Raw genomic sequence first — 16,436 nt, 5'->3', positions numbered from 1 at the left:
GTTCTGTTTATATGCTGGATTACATTTATTGATTTGTGTATATTGAACCAGCCTTGCATCCCAGGGATGAAGCCCACTTGATCATGGTGGATAAGCTTTTTGATGTGCTGCTGGATTCGGTTTGCCAGTATTTTATTGAGGATTTTTGCATCAATGTTCATCAAGGATATTGGTCTAAAATTCTCTTTTTTGGTTGTGTCTCTGCCAGGCTTTGGTATCAGGTGGATGCTGGCCTCATAAAATGAGTTAGGGAGGATTCCTTCTTTTTCTATTGATTGGAATAGTTTCAGAAGGAATGGTACCGGTTCCTCCTTGTACCTCTGGTAGAATTCAGCTGTGAATCCATCTGGTCCTGGACTCTTTTTGGTTGGTAAGCTATTGATTATTGCCACAATTTCAGCTCCTGTTATTGGCCTATTCAGAGATTCAACTTCTTCCTGGTTTAGTCTTGGGAGGGTGTATGTGTCAAGGAATTTATCCATTTCTTCTAGATTTTCTAGTTTATTTGCGTAGAGGTGTTTGTAGTATTCTCTGATGGTAGTTTGTATTTCTGTGGGATCGGTGGTGATATCCCCTTTATCATGTTTTATTGCGTCTATTTGATTCTTCTCTCTTTTTTTCTTTATTAGTCTTGCTAGTGGTCTATCAATTTTGTTGGTCCTTTCAGAAAGCCAGCTCCTGGATTCATTAATTTTTTGAAGGGTTTTTTGTGTCTCTATTTCCTTCAGTTCTGCTCTGATTTTAGTTATTTCTTGCCTTCTGCTAGCTTTTGAATGTGTTTGCTCTTGCTTTTCTAGTTCTTTTAATTGTGATGTTAGGGTGTCAATTTTGGATCTTTCCTGCTTTCTCTTGTGGGCATTTAGTGCTATAAATTTCCCTCTACACACTGCTTTGAATGTGTCCCAGAGATCCTGGTATGTTGTGTCTTTGTTCTCGTTGGTTTCAAAGAACATCTTTATTTCTGCCTTCATTTCGTTATGTACCCAGTAGTCATTCAGGAGCAGGTTGTTCAGTTTCCATGTAGTTGAGCGGTTTTGAGTGAGATTCTTAATCCTGAGTTCTAGTTTGATTGCACTGTGGTCTGAGAGATAGTTTGTTATAATTTCTGTTCTTTTGCATTTGCTGAGGACTGCTTTACTTCCAAGTATGTGGTCAATTTTGGAATAGGTGTGGTGTGGTGCTGAAGAAAATGTATATTCTGTTGATTTGGGGTGGAGAGTTCTGTAGATGTCTATTAGGTCTGCTTGGTGCAGAGCTGAGTTCAATTCCTGGGTATCCTTGTTGACTTTCTGTCTCATTGATCTGTCTGATGTTGACAGTGGGGTGTTAAAGTCTCCCATTATTAATGTGTGGGAGTCTAAGTCTCTTTGTAGGTCACTCAGGACTTGCTTTATGAATCTGGGTGCTCCTGTATTGGGTGCATGTATATTTAGGATAGTTAGCTCTTTTTGTTGAAGTGATCCCTTTACCATTATGTAATGGCCTTCTTTGTCTCTTTTGATCTTTGTTGATTTAAAGTCTGTTTTATCAGAGACTAGGATTGCAACCCCTGCCTTTTTTTGTTTTCCATTTGTTTGGTAGATCTTCCTCCATCCTTTTATTTTGAGCCTATGTGTGTCTCTGCACATGAGATGGGTTTCCTGAATACAGCACACTGATGGGTCTTGACTCTTTATCCAATTTGCCAGTCTGTGTCTTTTAATTGGAGCATTGAGTCCATTTACATTTAAAGTTAATATTGTTATATGTGAATTTGATCGTGTCGTTATGATGTTAGCTGCTTATTTTGCTCGTTAGTTGATGCAGTTTCTTCCTAGTCTCGATGGTCTTTACATTTTGGTATGATTTTGCAGTGGCTGGTATCGGTTGTTCCTTTCCATGTTTAGCACTTCCTTCAGGAGCTCTTTTAGGGCAGGCCTGGTGGTGACAAAATCTCTCAGCATTTGCTTGTCTGTAAAGTAGTTTATTTCTCCTTCACTTATGAAGCTTAGTTTGGCTGGATATGAAATTCTGGGTTCAAAATCCTTTTCTTTAAGAATGTTGAATATTGGCCTCCACTCTCTTCTGGCCTGTAGAGTTTCTGCTGAGAGATCCGCTGTTAGTCTGACGGGCTTCCCTTTGAGGGTAACCCGACTTTTCTCTCTGGCTGCCCTTAACATTTTTTCCTTCATTTCAACTTTGACGAATCTGACAATTATGTGTTTTGGAGTTGCTCTTCTCGAGGAGTATCTTTGTGGCGTTCTCTGTATTTCCTGAATCTGAATGTTGGCCTGCCTTGCTAGATTGGGGAAGTTCTCCTGGATAATATCCTGCAGAGTGTTTTCCAACTTGGTTCCATTCTCCCTGTCACTTTCAGGTACACCAGTCAGACATAGATTTGGTCTTTTCACATAGTCCCATATTTCTTGTAGGCTTTGCTCGTTTCGTTTTATTCTTTTTTCTCTAAACTTCCCTTCTCGCTTCATTTCATTCATTTCATCTTCCATCACTGATACCCTTTCTTCCAGTTGATTGCATTGGCTCCTGAGGCTTCTGCATTCTTCACGTAGTTCTCGAGCCTTGGTTTTCAGCTCCATCAGCTCCTTTAAGCACTTCTCTGTATTGGTTATTCTAGTTATACATTCTTCTAAATTTTTTTTCAAAGTTTTCAACTTCTTTGCCTTTGGTTTCAATGTCCTCCCGTAGCTCAGAGTCATTTGATCATCTGAAGCCTTCTTCTCTCAGCTCGTCAAAGTCATTCTCTGTCCAGCTTTGTTCCGTTGCTGGTGAGGAACTGCGTTCCTTTGGAGGAGGAGAGGTGCTCTGCTTTTTAGAGTTTCCAGTTTTTCTGCTCTGTTTTTTCCCCATCTTTGTGGTTTTATCTACTTTTGGTCTTTGATGATGGTGATGTACAGATGGGTTTTTGGTGTGGATGTCCTTTCTGTTTGTTAGTTTTCCTTCTAACAGACAGGACCCTCAGCTGCAGGTCTGTTGGAGTACCCAGCCGTGTGAGGTGTCAGTCTGCCCCTGCTGGGGGGTGCCTCCCAGTTAGGCTGCTCGGGGGTCAGGGGACAGGGACCCACTTGAGGAGGCAGTCTGCCCGTTCTCAGATCTCCAGCTGCGTGCTGGGAGAACCACTGCTCTCTTCAAAGCTGTCAGACAGGGACATTTAAGTCTGCAGGTTACTGCTGTCTTTTTGTTTGTCTGTGCCCTGCCCCCAGAGGTGGAGCCTACAGAGGCACGCAGGCCTCCTTGAGCTGTGGTGGGCTCCACCCAGTTCGAGCTTCCTGGCTGCTTTGTTTACCCAAGCAAGCCTGGGCAATGGCGGGCGCCCCTCTCCCAGCCTCGCTGCCGCCCTGCAGTTTGATCTCAGACTGCTGTGCTAGCAATCAGCAAGACTCCGTGGGCGTAGGACCCTCCAAGCCAGGTGCAGGATATAATCTCGTGGTGCGCCGTTTTTTCAGCCCGTTGGAAAAGCGCAGTATTCGGGTGGGAGTGACCCAATTTTCCAGGTGCCGTCTGTCACCCCTTTCTTTGACTAGGAAAGGGAGCTCCCTGACCCCTTGCACTTCCCGAGTGAGGCAATGCCTTGCCCTGCTTCAGCTCGCGCACTGTGCATGCACCCACTGACCTGCGCCCACTGTCTGGCACTCCCTAGTGAGATGAACCCAGTGCCTCAGATGGAAATGCAGAAATCACCCGTCTTCTGCGTCGCTCACGCTGGGAGCTGTAGACGGCAGCTGTTCCTATTCGGCCATCTTGGCTCCCTGATCAATTTCTTAAAAAAAAAAAAAAAGTAACTATTTTTGAAGTTATCTTCATTTCATAGTATTTTTTTTTAAGTTTAGATAAAAATATCTACGGTGTTAAGACAATTATTAGCATAAGCACATTAAATTGCTCAACACTGTGGTAGACATTAGATATGCATAATCTTGTTTGATTTTTAAAATGAACTTCTTGGTCAGTATTTTGATACCCACTTTATAGTTAAAGGAAAAGATTGATAATCTGCATAACTAATACATGGTCTACTAGAAGTTAAATTGGAGTTTGTCTGATTTTAAAACCTGAGTTCTCCCTAGGTCTAGACTACTCTGCTCTATGCACTTTGGTATTAGGGCTTTTTGGAGGCTTGAGGTATGTCATCCACAAAGCAAACAAAGAAGGCTTAGAAGTGTAAGTTTCAAGAATGACGTACATTTTTTATTCAGCTTCTTTCAACAATGGTGCTGCTGTCACTCATCCTTGGCAGTCCATCATACATGTGTGTGGCCACGGGTGTACTTTCAGCTGACCACATTGGTCACCAGGCTGTGACCACACAATTCACAAATGGAGTTACAAGCTCAAAGAAGTCTTCATACATACAGGGCCTTCTCAGAAATAGTCTCAGTGACCACACCCCATCTATCTTCCTGGGTTCAATGGGCTGAGTTTAGGGAATATCTTGGTGTGGATATAGCCTTCCATTCCTGTGTAATTACCCAGTTTTTTTTTATTCCAGTTGTCCTGAAAAACATGTCATGGTCTTGCTGTGGGAAAAGGAAATATGTTCTTGTTTACATAAAATAGGAGTAGGAAGTGCTATCTAAAGCTGACAAGATAGGTGGAGATGAAGCTTTAGAGAATGCAGATGAAGCAGATGAGATATTCAGCTTTTGGGGTAGGTTTCAGGGGGAAATGGTAATTATGTGTGACCTCTAAATATAAGTAATATTTGGCTGCATGAGGATTGTAAGATATGGCAAAAAGCATTTTGGTTAGGCTCAAAGACAAGAATGCATAGTGTCTTGAAGAAAACAACAGATTATTCATTTGACTAGAGCACAGTGAAAAAAATAAAAGAAGAGAGGGTTAAGGTTAGAGGTATAGGCTCAGGATTGTCAGATTGTCTTTTGGATTTCAGATTTAATTGTGTTTGAAATACAAATTCGGGACAGAGTAGTCACATCATCAAGAATATTCTTAGTGCACCAATAATCTGACAATTGGTGGAATGGATAAGAGAGAAAGAGACTACAGGCAAGAGAAAAGGGTAGGAGGCCAATGTTCAGGCAGGAGGTAATGATAACTTAAACTAGGGCAGTAGCAGAAAGGGAAAGGAAAGAAAAGAAGACCAAACATATTGTGTAAGTAAAATCCACAGACTGCATGAACTGATGGATAGTGTTGGCTAAGAAAAGGTACTTGAATTCAGAGTTCTAGCTTACTTGACTGAGGTACAGACATACTGGCTAGGGTTATTTACAAGTGATAGAAACATACACTGGCTCACTTTAACAAAATGTCTTTTTTAAATGATTTTTAAGGAAGGATTTGGAAGTCACTCAAAGATTGAAAGGACATTAAAATGAGGCCTCCAAAAAGGAAAGAAATGAGAAAACTCTAGGAATTAAAGGATAGTCTACTAAGACTTTACCCTTCAGGATAAATCAGATTGAATCATTTAGTCTACTTAGTCTAAAGATTGAAGTTCCACAGAATAGGGGAAGAAAAAGAGAGAGAGAGAGAGACAGAAAGAAAGAAAGAAAGAAACAAGAGAAGGGAAGGGAAAGGAAGTCCCATTTATTGGTTGTATGCCTACTCCCTGGCCAGAGGGCGGGATGGCTTGATTGTTAGGCCATCAAGATTCTATCTGACAGGTGAGAGATAATTTCCCAAAAAAATCTTGCCAGAAAATGGGAAGGATGCTGACTAAGAAAAAACTGAGGATATCCACCTCTGAGGGCTAAGAATAATACAGAAATTTCAGGCTTCAGAGCCAGAGCTTGCTCTGTGGGATATCAACTCTTTCACCTGCCTATTGAGTAACCCTGTGAAAATCACTTAAGCTCTCCTAGTGAAGAACATTAAGAGCAAATGCACATACTAATGAAGGTATTATGATTTATCTCCTGTTTGATTTTAAGGGAAATATTTGGTTAGAGTAAATTATATTAAGGAAAATTTATTCTATTCCTTGTTTACTAAAAGTTTGTTTTCTGGGTCATGAACTATTGTTAAATATATACCTGATAGTAGTGTATTATTTTACCATACTGTGTGCTAAATATGCTAGAATTTTATAGAGGATGTTGGGATCACAACTCATAAGTGACAGTATCTGTAGTTTAACTTTTTAATTCTTTTATTATAGGCTCACTTTGTTAGGTTTCTACATCATGGTTATACTTATATATCTTCTGGAATTTAGAGGTGTTCCTCTTTGTATTCTCTGAACCAGTTTAAATGATGTATAAATAATCTATAACTTTAACTTGAAACAGTGTAGTCATAAAATTATGTGAAATTAGAGTCTTTGGGGAAGTAATTTATTTTTGCCTTTCAACAAATTCCATAGTTATTGAGCACTTTAGGCTTTCTAAATTTTCATGTGTAAGTTTTGTTCATTTATATTTTTTTCAGGGAAAGCATACATTTCTTCAAGGTGTACAAAATTTTTTGCATAGAGTTATTTAGACATAAAGGAGAAAGAATATTTGACAAGATATTTGAAAATGTACAGAATTAAGGGAGTGTCAAATTTGTATATATTTAATGAGATTGGGAAGATCACAAATAAAAAGGCAGGTAGAGGAGGGTGATAGGGTTGAGTAGGAGGCTCCAGAATTTGGGGTTGAAGCACTAAACCAGATAGGTTGCTTGAAATAAACAAAACTAAAGATAAAGTCAAAGTCATAGTCAGAAAGAAACACTAAGAATAGAGCCAAGAAATTGGAGACTGAATATCATCCTTAAATGCAGCTGAGGAGATCAGAAGCCAGGAAAGTAAAACTGAGTCTGGTTGTGATGAGTGGAGCTACAGGTGGTCAAGAACCAAGATTATGGGAGAATTCTTGAGGCATATTTCAATGTCCTGTGGTTCTGTGGGTTAGAGATGTAAACACAGAAGAAAGATGCATTTATTCATGATTCTTTGGGTTTTAAAAAACACAAATCTGCCAACTTACTCAAAAAAATGAACTAGCTCATGTGACTCAAAGCTATTTAAGGGTTAAAGCTATCTGTGGGAAAACTCTTTTCTCTTTATCTGTTGTGTCCACTTTCCATTGTGTTGTTTTCAATCTCAGGCAGGCGATCTTTTTGTTGTATTAAAAATGGCTCTGGCAGTTTCAGGCTTTCTCGTTCCATCATTTCTGTGTAATCTCAGAGGTTACAACCACGTCCTTTCCAGATCATTGCACAAAATTCTCAGGGAAGATTTTGGCTCTGCATTGGTCAGGTTATTACGCTGTGGCCAGGGAAATGGATATATGCACACTGGCCAGGCCTGGTGCACATGTGCAACACTGAAGTGGGGAGGACTAACTAGGAGAATTAATAGTGGGAGAGGTCGGTCTCCCAAATAGATGAGTAGACTGCCCCCGAATTATAAGCGTGTATGTGTGTGTTTGTTTGTATACATGGAGCTTGCTGATTCCAAGCAACTATGTATATACACATAGGTTGCTGATTCCAAGTACATATATATATACACACACACACACACATATACACATATATATACCTATACACACACGCACATACACACATATATACACACACACACACACATACACACACACATAGTCGTTCCTTGGTATCCATGGAGGATTGGTTCCAGGACCCCCTGGAGATACCAAAATCTGTGAATGGTCAATCTCTTATGTTAAATGGAGTATGTGCATATAAACTACACACACCTTCTTATATACTTTAAATCTTCTGTATAGATTACTTATAATAACTAATGCAATGTCTACACATCACTTCATTAGCATGGATTCAACATAGGTCTTGGTGCATGGCAAATTCAACTTTTACTTTTTGGAACTTGGTAGAATGTTTTTATCCAAACATTTTTGATCCTCAGTTGGTTTAATCTATTGATGTGGGACCAAAAAATATGGAGGGCCGACTGTATGTACATGTGTGTTTGTGTGTGTGTGTGTATGTGTTTGTGTGTGTGTATGATGAAGGAATGAATAGAATAGATGAAACACAAAGCACCAGGGAAGTTTTGTAAATTAATTAGTTAAGGATTTGACTGGACAAAGGACCCATGAATATGTAGTAGAAGTAGATTAAAACTTATGGAGAAAACAAGTATGGTAGCCAGATTTGTGTACCCATTCATCTCATTTTCCTGCAAAATCATAATAATAATAATAATTTAACAAGTTATTTCTTGCTCCTGATAAACATGGGGCACTAAAAGAAGCAGCTTTGGTCAAGGATTTAGAAGATTTTTATCCACAGATCTGTTCTCCCGTGAATTAGCTGCGTGACTTCAGATAAGTCATTAACCTCTCTGTGCCTCAGAGGCATGATGATTCCATATTTTGTGGGATTGTTGAGAGAATTAAACAAGATGCAAGGTAAATAAAACTGGAGATGTCTAGACATTGCTGGCACCCAAAATATATTAGTGAATTGAAAGGGGAATTTAAAGATGGTGTTTTGTTTATTATCATCATTATTATAAGTCCCATTTCTAGTAATTACATTGCCAATATATTTTTTTATTTACATTTTTCCTTTATGGGGAAATATTGGAACCATTTTAAATTAATTCTTCTGACTGCATTTCCATGGCTCCCTTAAGAAGCCGAGTAGGATCTTAGACACATGAAATAATGACCCAATTTAAGTTGCTGTGTTTTTGTAAAGCACTGGAAAAGAGGAAAGCACTTCAAAGTAATTAACATGAACATGCTCAATTACGTTTCTGTATGACATGCCAACACCACTGACTGGAAATTCTGAAATTAGGAATCTCAGAATCCTCAATTGCTAACACAATGAAGTCGTAAGGTGTCCCCTTCTTTCCTCTCAGGATGGTCTTTTAGAGAATTATTAAGTATTAAAAGGTTAAAAACTAAGAAAACAGTAGCATTAAGGGGTAAAAAAGTTCTCCCATCAGGCCAATGGGTGGAAGGGTAGGGTCACTGAATGTAGCCTTATTTCTGCTGGCTGGCCATGTTTCTTTCCTACCCAAGCTCCAAAGTAAGCGGACTGTGTAAGCGGGAATGAAATACACAACCCCCTTGTGACTGTGAGCAGCAAAGCATTCTCCGTTTGTGGTTTTCTTCAAATGAGGCTGCTTGGAATATGTGTTTGAAAACACTGAGACTCTTTATTAATCAAGCACTTCACTCTCCCTGCCAGCATAACGTTTCATTGATGTCAAAACTCCCTTAAAAATGGTTTTGGAGCCACTTCTTGTACACAGACTTCAACAGAAGAAATATTTTTGGAATTGTAAATAGAATAATTGAGGCAAATATTTGCCCATTTGGAAAGCTTCTGTAATGGCTTTAATGTCCAGTTGCATTTTAAATATGCAGATCTGGTTATGGGTGGTAGGTACAGGGGCAAGGATGAAGCAGACCCCAAACTCTAGGTTTCCCTTAGAGAGTTTAATCGCAAAACAGGCTGGATGAGAGAAGACATAGGAAAAATTATTTTGAAAAGATAAATTTGTTTCCAGGCAGGAGCAAGCAGTAACTAAATGGGTTAACCTACAAGAAAAGATATGCCAATCAGAAATGGGCTTGCTGAGCAGAAGCTAAGGAGAAGGAGAGTCATAGAGACACACATTGGCAATGCGCATCCAAGAGCTGCACTGAATAGAGGATGTCTGGGTCTTGAGATACCAAGTACCAAGATCTAGGAGTAGGTCCATTTTGATTATACAGATGGTCACATCAGGGTACTACTGTTATGTAAGATGAAACATCTGAGTTATATAGGAAATACCCCTATTCTAATTCCATGTACTTGGAAATCTCTTCCCAAGTCAGTCTTCTTGTAAGAAGGTAACATGCAATTTAGGCCACTTGGAGATTGCGAGTTTGTGGTATAAATTGTGGTAGAGCATCTCTTTGTAGATGAGTAGATAGGCATCTTGTGTTTCATGGATCCCTGTGAACTTGTATGTGTCTACTGAAAGACATGGATGTGTTCTCTGTGTTGGTATATCAGGTTTCTGGGCCTGCAGGTTGAGGGCTAGAACCTGGGCAGTGGTAAATCCATTTAGGTAACAGATTTCTCTGTGAGGACGTCTGGCAGAAGAAAAGATGGGTTTTGCTACTGATGACTTCTGCTGCAGAAGGCATAATCTTGAGTAAATTAACCTCTCCAAGTCTTACTCTTCTTACCCTCTTCCCTCTGGGGAAGAGACACTTACTTTGCAAGGACACTGTAAGTTTTTGGGATATTATCAGTGCTCCTGATAATGCTCTTGAGAAGCCTCTTTCTGTTCTAAAGTTATATGATGCTCCAGATAGACATCTTGGGATGTCTACTAGTCTGTGACCCTGCTTTGAAAACCTCTGCCTCTCATTCCCCAGAGTGATTCCTGCAACAATGTTTTCACTCTTTGACTCTCATTCCCTACAGATAAAAACACTTGGTTCAGTAGAAGTAACACTGGATCAATCAGTTTATTCCTTCCATAAGTATTAGTTGGCTACAGTTGCTCTATCCAATCTCTGTTGAATGCCTTAACTGGTGGGATGTTTAGGGTCACCTGCTTCATAGTTATGTGAAAGCTACACACAAGAAAAGGTGAATGGATCAAGAAGCACAGATAAAACAAAACACAACCAAAAAACCACTAACACAAAACTATGAAGCTGAGGTAGATGGAAAGAACGTGGTTCTCAACCCTAAAAATTGTCATTTTATTGACCTCAGTGACTTATGGTACCCAGCCACATTCTCTGCTCTTATTTTCCATGAGATATTTTTTAATATTTTTCCATTACTCTCATCACTCCCCAGTGACGTGCAGCTAATTTGAGCCTGGTTTTGTTACATGACAACCAGTGAATCTCTGTTCTTCAATCTTTGATTTGAAACCATGAGAGGCAAGGCAAATGTCACATCCTTGGTGTGGAAACTCTTTAAGGAAGGACAGGATAATCGGCTCATGAAAAAGAGCTGGCAAGTAATCTCTCCTTCATGGGAAGGCCTGCCCTCAGAACGATTTCTATTCAAACACATTTCTGAGGAGCAACTGAAAACACAAGCTTTGGACTTTGGGTACCTTAGAAAAAGGTTGGTGTTGTTCTAACAGGCCCAGCTGAAGTTTGCATCCTCATCATGGGCATATTTGCTATTTTTCTTCCATCACACTCTACACTAGACTGGGGAAAGGCATTCTCCTGATGCTTGTTCAGGAGTGTTTCTGCAGAGGCAGACACTCTGAGCCTGGCTGTGGCCTGATGACGCAATGACACCATGGCCCCCTCAGTTGTCGAGGGCCTCTGGAAAAGGCCCACTAGCCAGGATCTCTGTACAGAAAGGGAAGAAGTTATGGCACGGAAATCCTCAGAGTCCTGTACTCAGCACTAGAGAAGGTCTCCAGAGTGAGAACAACAAGCTCCATCCTTCCAAGCTTTTATTAGCCTACTTGGTGAGGGTCCTGTTCATTCCTTTCAGATATTTCTGTAAAGAGACAACCTGGTGAGGAACGAGAGCTGGGCAGAAGACCTGGGTTGAGGTGCACAACTTATTGGGGGTCTGGCCATGGGCAAGCTGATTAACACCTTCCAGCTTTAATACCCTCATATGTAAAAATGGGAACATGGTGGTGAGGAGCAAGTAAGATAATGAAAATGATAAAGAGTAATAGAAATTAAGAGTATGCAATCTTCTTCAAATCTCCCTTTGGTTACTCTTTTCCCCTCCATTAGTGAGTAGTTTTCAATTGATTTTTCTGCTGGAGGATTTGATTACCTTTGCTGAATCATTGCTGTTTCATAAATATGATCTCAAAGAGCCTCCGATGGTTTTGTTATTATGAGCTGGAGTCTGATCCTATGTTTTTTGTATGACTCTTTAGGGCATATCTATTTTCTTAATTCTAATGCAGTGTAGACCCTGGGACAAGATACTAATAATTGCTATTATTCATTCAATTTCTACTAGATTCAAGGCATAATGCATTCATTAATTCTCCCAGCAATACTTTAAAGTAGGTGCTATTGTTATCTGCATTTATGTTTTAATTCAAAAATACACATAAAAAGCAAGCCACACAATAGGTTAACAACTTGTGTTGGAGCAGAGAGATACTAAATAGTAAAGATAAGGCTTAAACCAGGACTACTCAACTCCAAATATCCAACTCACCTCACTGTGGCATAGAATATCATGAAACTTTGGTCATTACAGGGATATTGAATACATAAAATAATAAGTCACTGATGCATGATGATGAAGGGGAATGAGGGTGGGAAAAGGTAGGAGAACAAAGTGGTGTTGAGTAGACTCAGAAACTGGGTGCTACCGCAAAGCAGAAGTTTGTCTGAAGCACAAGATCCAAAGGCTCTCCCATGCTCAGAGGTAGGGCGGTGAGTGTATGGGTATAACCCAATGCATAGATCATATAAGCAAAAGATACATGGTTGTCAGTGGTTAATGTTGTGAGGCAGATCTGTGTTAGGGCACTGAGAGATGTGTCACAGCAGGACGTCAGCCAGCAGCTAGGCACATGGAGACATGATTTAGTTATTTGCGGGGAGGTAGTAGGACAACAGCAAAGAGCTGATGGTAATGAAAGGCTCGTTTAATAGACATTGGGTCCATGGCAGAGTAACTGAACAGTTTCTGAGGTAATTGAACCTACTGTCCCCATAACAATTCAACCCTTGGAGAATTTCTTACTATCACTGCTTTCTACCAAGAGATGAACTACCACCATACCTTCTGACTCAGAGAAAACCATTGCGGTGTTTATAAAGAGGGAGTTGGTTGGAAAGTTTAGTTCAATTCAGTTCAACAAATATTTATGGAGCACCCGCTCTGTGCCAGGCACCATGCTAGGCACAGGGACACAGAGATGAATAACACACAGTCCTTACCAGGAATGGCAAATACACAGCACAAATGCTGCCACTCCCTTGTCCTCCACTGCAGCAGACATCATTAATCAATCACCACACTGCTTCCTGCTGAGTCTGCATCTGGCCTCCACTCTCCTAAGCAGGCAGCCACTATCCATCAATAGGAGATGCCAGGTGAGCCAAAATGAGTTGACACTTTTGCTTCAAAAGGTTGTTAATTTTGGTAAGGGAGAGAGACTGAAATGTGTCCCCATGTATATTAATCTGCATGGTTTGGGCTCAAGGGAATAGAAGTTTGGGGAATCCTGGGGTCTTAAAAAATGTTTGAGTTTCCTTCATGTCTTATTGCTATTATTTTAAAAGGATAGGATGGCTGGGCGCGCTGGCTCATGCCTGTAATCCTAGCACTTTGGGAGGCTGAAGCAGGCAGATCACCTGAGGTCAGGAGTTCGAGACTAGCCTGGCCAACATGGCAAAACCTCATCTCTACTAAAATTACAAAAATTAGCTGGGCATGATGATGCATGCCTGTAATCCCAGCTACCAGGGAGGCAGAGGGAGGAGAATTGCTTGAACCCAGGAGGTGGAGGTTTTAGTGAGCAAAGATTGTGCCACTGCATTCTAACCTGGGAGAGAGAGCAAGACTCTGTCTCAAAATAAATAAATAAATAAATAAATAAATAAATAAATAAATGTAAATAAACAAGGTGAGGGGAAAATTTCTGTTAATAAAGACATGGTATCTTGAGGGAAGCATTTCTCCCTAAGTGCAGAGTTATTTTCATCAGAGAGAGCTTCTCTTAACATACAGCTTGAGGCAAAATTAAAATCCAGAAACACAGTTTAAGAGAGTATGAACTCTTGCTAGAACTGCAATGTATCTACCCCAGGGGTCCTAAGAATTTGCTAACCCCTAACTGCCAGTTCTTCTCTAGCCAAGAAAATCAAGCAGCTAAGAACTCCTTGGGGAAGGCAGGGTGGTGAATGGAGACCTATTATAAAATATACACCTTCAAGAGAACAAGAATTACAGGTAACCTCCCTCTTCTCCAAAGCGAGTGGTGGTAATAGAACTCCTCTCTGTGGACACTAAGAAGGCCTTGCTTGTTCTGTGGCTTTGACCATTTATATTTAATTTATGGTTTTAATTTTCTGGAAAGAGCCCAAAGGAGCCCACTGCCCAATGGAGTGCATGATACAGGTTTGGTAAGCACAAGTTAAAATAAAATAAAAATGCTTCAGTGCCTTCGGATGTGTCTAAAACAACAGAATTAAGAGACTCTAAAAACCAGGGTCATAATTATCTTTCAGTTTATCTTAAATGGCAAAGTGTAAGGGAAGAAAGGTGAGTAAAGAAAGAAATGGGAGGGGGCTTTAAAATGACAGGATATAGCATTAAGCATGGTTGAACCAGACTTAAACGTTGGCCCTGCCAGCCTTCCTGAAAATGGAACATTATAGCCTTGCAAAATCTGGATTTCACAGTGAGAAAAAAATCAAACATAACACTTCTCACTCTGAATCACTTTACCCAAAAGAGGGTTTTGAATTGAAACCCTCATTACTGCCAATAACTGAGTTTACCTAAATAATCTCTAGCACTTTGGAAAGAGGGTAAGGCCACTGCTGTTTGGCAGATTTAAAAAAGGCAGGAGTTGTGTCCTAGAGAAACCTTTTCTTCCCTTGAACTTTTTCAGAAAAGCTTTCCTGCTTTGGGCCCTCATCTCCAGAGGAATCCATTGTGCAAAATGTAGAATACGGACCTATAGAAATATTGGCTTATTAACATGTATTTTTCTTTGGCATTGCCCATGCATGCGCTAAATGCAGACTTTTCATTTTTGGGAAGGGTAAGGTGAGCTATTTAAATTTACTTGATTTCAGGAAATATCCACAGAGACATCCTAGACCCTCAAGAACCTTGCATCTGTGTTCAAACAGTTGAATTTAAACAAACAGGTAACATTTTGAATTATATTTTTAGGTTCCACACTTATTGAGCAGTGGCTAAGAGCAAAGGACTATGCATAACGTACTGTGAAACTTAGTAAGATTTTTGTTCCTGCAATTCTATGTGAGCCACTCTTAACCTGACTGGAATTGTGTATGGGTTCCCAAATTGAGACTTTCACTGTGCTTGTACAACAACAGACGCAGTCAACAACAAATAATATTCAACAGCCCCTGTGTGCATTGGTGTTTATATAATTCTAACAATTACAATAAGTACAGACACTTTAAAAATTCCTACTATGTACCAGCTTGTGTCCTAGGCCCTTTACTTGCATTAATTAATTTGATCCACATAACAGTCTTACATGGTTATGATATTAGTTTCCTAGGGGTGTCTTAATCAATTGCCCCAAACTGGGTGGCTTACAACAACAGAAATTTATTTTTTCACAGTTGTGGAAGCCGGAAGTTCAAAATCAAGATGTCAGCAGTGTGTGTCAGTTCCTTCTGGAGTCTCGAGGAAGGATCCGTTGTATGAGTCTCTCCTTCCCTCTGGTGACTGCCTAGCAATTGTTGGCATTTCTTGGTTTGTGACTGCACCTCAGTCTTTGCCTGTGTTAACGTGGCCTTTCCCTCCATGTGTCTCTGTGTCTTCTCCTTTTCTGTGACTTAAAGGATAGTCATGAGATTTATGGTCACGCCAATACAGAATGATCTTATCTGGATATCTTTATATTAATTACATCTAAAAAGATCCTTATTCAAAATAAGGTGACATTCTGAGATTCCAGGTGGCACTTATTTTGGGGAGTCACTATTCAACTTACTATGGTCTTCCCTGCATGAATGAGGAGGTAGAATGTCAGTTTAGGAGGTTGTACAAGGTCACAGAGCAGGTGAGAAGGAAAATCAAGGTTTGAGCCTAGGTGTCTGAATCCAGAGGCATTGATCTTCACAATCACAGTATCACACCATTCTGCTATGCTATACTCTTTTTCTCCTCTACACTTTACTGTGGGGAAAGAGGTCATCCAGTATGGTGACTAACTAAATTCCTCCAGTCACTGCAGCATGAAGCAATGAATTAACATGAGACCACATAGATCTGAATGGTGCCAGGGGTGAACTGCAACAGTTGCTGTTGGTGCCCTACAGATACACCAAGGTCCTCTTAACTAGTTTGGTTATCGTGCTCCAAGTCCTGCAGGTGCTTCTGCTAATGGCTCACATCTGCAGTTTTCTCCAGGAGATTGTCCAGTGATTGAAGCCACATTGCCCAGAGGATGTTAAGCTAAGGTTCCTTCTCCCCTGCCATACAATAGTTTTGACTGGTTGGGGCAGGGGCACAAAAGTCTCACTCCCTTATTTCAAGACAGGACTGAATCCCCTAGTGAGCTAGACTTAACCCGACCCCACATTCTTGCATCTCTCCATCCCCTTCCCTACCCTGCTGCTCTTCCTCTTCCCAAGGTTTTCCAAAGAGATCTCCATGAATAAATCTCAATGTACCCAAATCCTCAAATCCAGTTGTGCTGCTTGAATCAGATAACATTTTTCCTAAGTCATTTCATTTAGTGACAATAACTTGAAAGGTAATCCTAACTATCTCTACTTCAGAGATCAGGAAACTGAAATTAAGAGAAGTTCAGGGATGTGCCCAGGACTTCATAG

The 16,436-nt window shown here is 40.3% G+C and overlaps 1 long non-coding RNA gene across 9 annotated transcripts in view; it reads left to right on the top strand.

Moving 5' to 3' along the window:
- Positions 1–16,436, top strand: part of LOC105374493 (uncharacterized) — a 98,514-nt gene that overhangs the window by 68,128 nt on the left and 13,950 nt on the right. For 2 of the 9 annotated variants that reach the window (XR_001741370.2, XR_001741369.2), the window contains exon 2: positions 14,697–15,320. The exons of 4 other annotated variants lie outside the window; for them this stretch is intronic. This is a non-coding gene — a long non-coding RNA (uncharacterized LOC105374493). Of the gene's footprint in view, positions 1–3,803; positions 15,321–16,436 lie in introns of those variants that run through there. 3 more of the 9 variants (XR_001741371.2, XR_007058046.1, XR_007058045.1) reach the window with 3 other exon arrangements.

This window comes from Homo sapiens, chromosome 4, assembly GCF_000001405.40.
Source record: "Homo sapiens chromosome 4, GRCh38.p14 Primary Assembly".
NCBI classification, from domain to species: Eukaryota; Metazoa; Chordata; class Mammalia; order Primates; family Hominidae; genus Homo; species Homo sapiens.
Note: the sequence above shows the minus strand (reverse complement) of the source record. Positions and strands in the feature narration are given on the sequence as shown.